The 1,221-nt window shown below is 52.8% G+C and overlaps 1 annotated feature.

The window, feature by feature from the left end:
- Positions 214–453: a silencer, noted in NCBI's record as "silent region_8739". NCBI's record gives its function as "represses an Ori minimal core promoter by ATAC-STARR-seq in GM12878 lymphoblastoid cells {active_cell/tissue: GM12878}" and the evidence as "EXISTENCE:reporter gene assay evidence [ECO:0000049][PMID:35858748]".

Genomic DNA, 1,221 nt, shown 5'->3' on the forward strand with positions numbered 1-1,221 from the left:
CCCGGTGGCCCCCTCGGCGGCACCAAGATAACCAGCGCAGAAACCACAATTGGATCCTTATTCCTCCAGCCCAGGAATGCGAAGGACGGGACGGTTTAACCGCCTTCTGCATTTTCCTGCAAAGAGAGCCGGCTTGTTATTTCGGTTGTCTGGGCTCCCTTCTTTACTACGGAGAAAGATACATTAATTAATTTTTTTTTTTAATGTTAGGCAGGAAATGTTGCAAACTGTCAAGAGCTGTCAGCGGGCGCCTGCCCCAATCAGGTAAGCGGCGCGCGGGCGCCTGCGGCGGAGACACACTGACCCCTAGTGGCCGACCGGGCCCTCGCAGCCCCCGCGCCCGCCCTCGCTCCGGGCGGCCAGAGTCGCAGTCAAGTCGCTCTTTGCACAGAGCAGCTCTGTGTGGACTGGCGGGGGTGTGGCCGGTGCTGTGTCTCCACCGCCCGCCCCAACGCAAGCACGCGCGCACATACACCCCATGTCCATTTGCTCTTCCAAACCAGAGAAGCAATTTCTGCTCTCCTTGTCCAATTCCAGAGAACACAGATGCCTGAGAACCTTAAGCAGTGTGCCTCTGTGCTGTTGCTCAGGCATGTGCCTCTGCTCTTGAGGAGTGACGGGAAAGACAGACAGGGTCCCAGTGTGACACAGGGCTGAGAGGAAGGAAGGGGGTGGCGTTTGTGGAGACTCCCAGTACCAGACACTGTGCACACGGTTATCCCTTGGAGCCTGATGATAGCCCCAGATTTGGAAACTGAGGCCCCAGCTGTCACATGGCTTGTCCAGGTCACAAAGCTGATGTTTTTATTCATTTGTGTTGATTTTAATAAACAAATGTTTACATAGCTCTTGTCTGCCAGGCTTTCTTCTAGTGCTTTACCTATATTAAAATTACCTGTGTGGAATCCTCATCACAACCCTGTAAGTACTACTATTGCCTCCATTTCCCAGATGAGAAAACCGAGGCACACAGAGAGGTTAAGTAACTAGTGAGCGTGAGTCTAGTGTTTAATCTAGGCAGCCTGGCTTCAGAGTGCTCTCAGCCACTGCACTGGGCTGTGTGTGTATGTGTGTGTGTGTACCCCATGGATACTAGTTAAAAGGAGACCAGGATTCTAGTCTGCACATCACGGGCTCAAAAACCCAAGCTGTTCTGCGTGTACCTCCTTTGTTCCCTAAGGATGAAGTGCTACAGCAATGCAGGACAGGCGGCAGTAATTC

The sequence above is a fragment of the Homo sapiens genome, chromosome 17, assembly GCF_000001405.40.
Source record: "Homo sapiens chromosome 17, GRCh38.p14 Primary Assembly".
Classification (NCBI taxonomy): domain Eukaryota; kingdom Metazoa; phylum Chordata; class Mammalia; order Primates; family Hominidae; genus Homo; species Homo sapiens.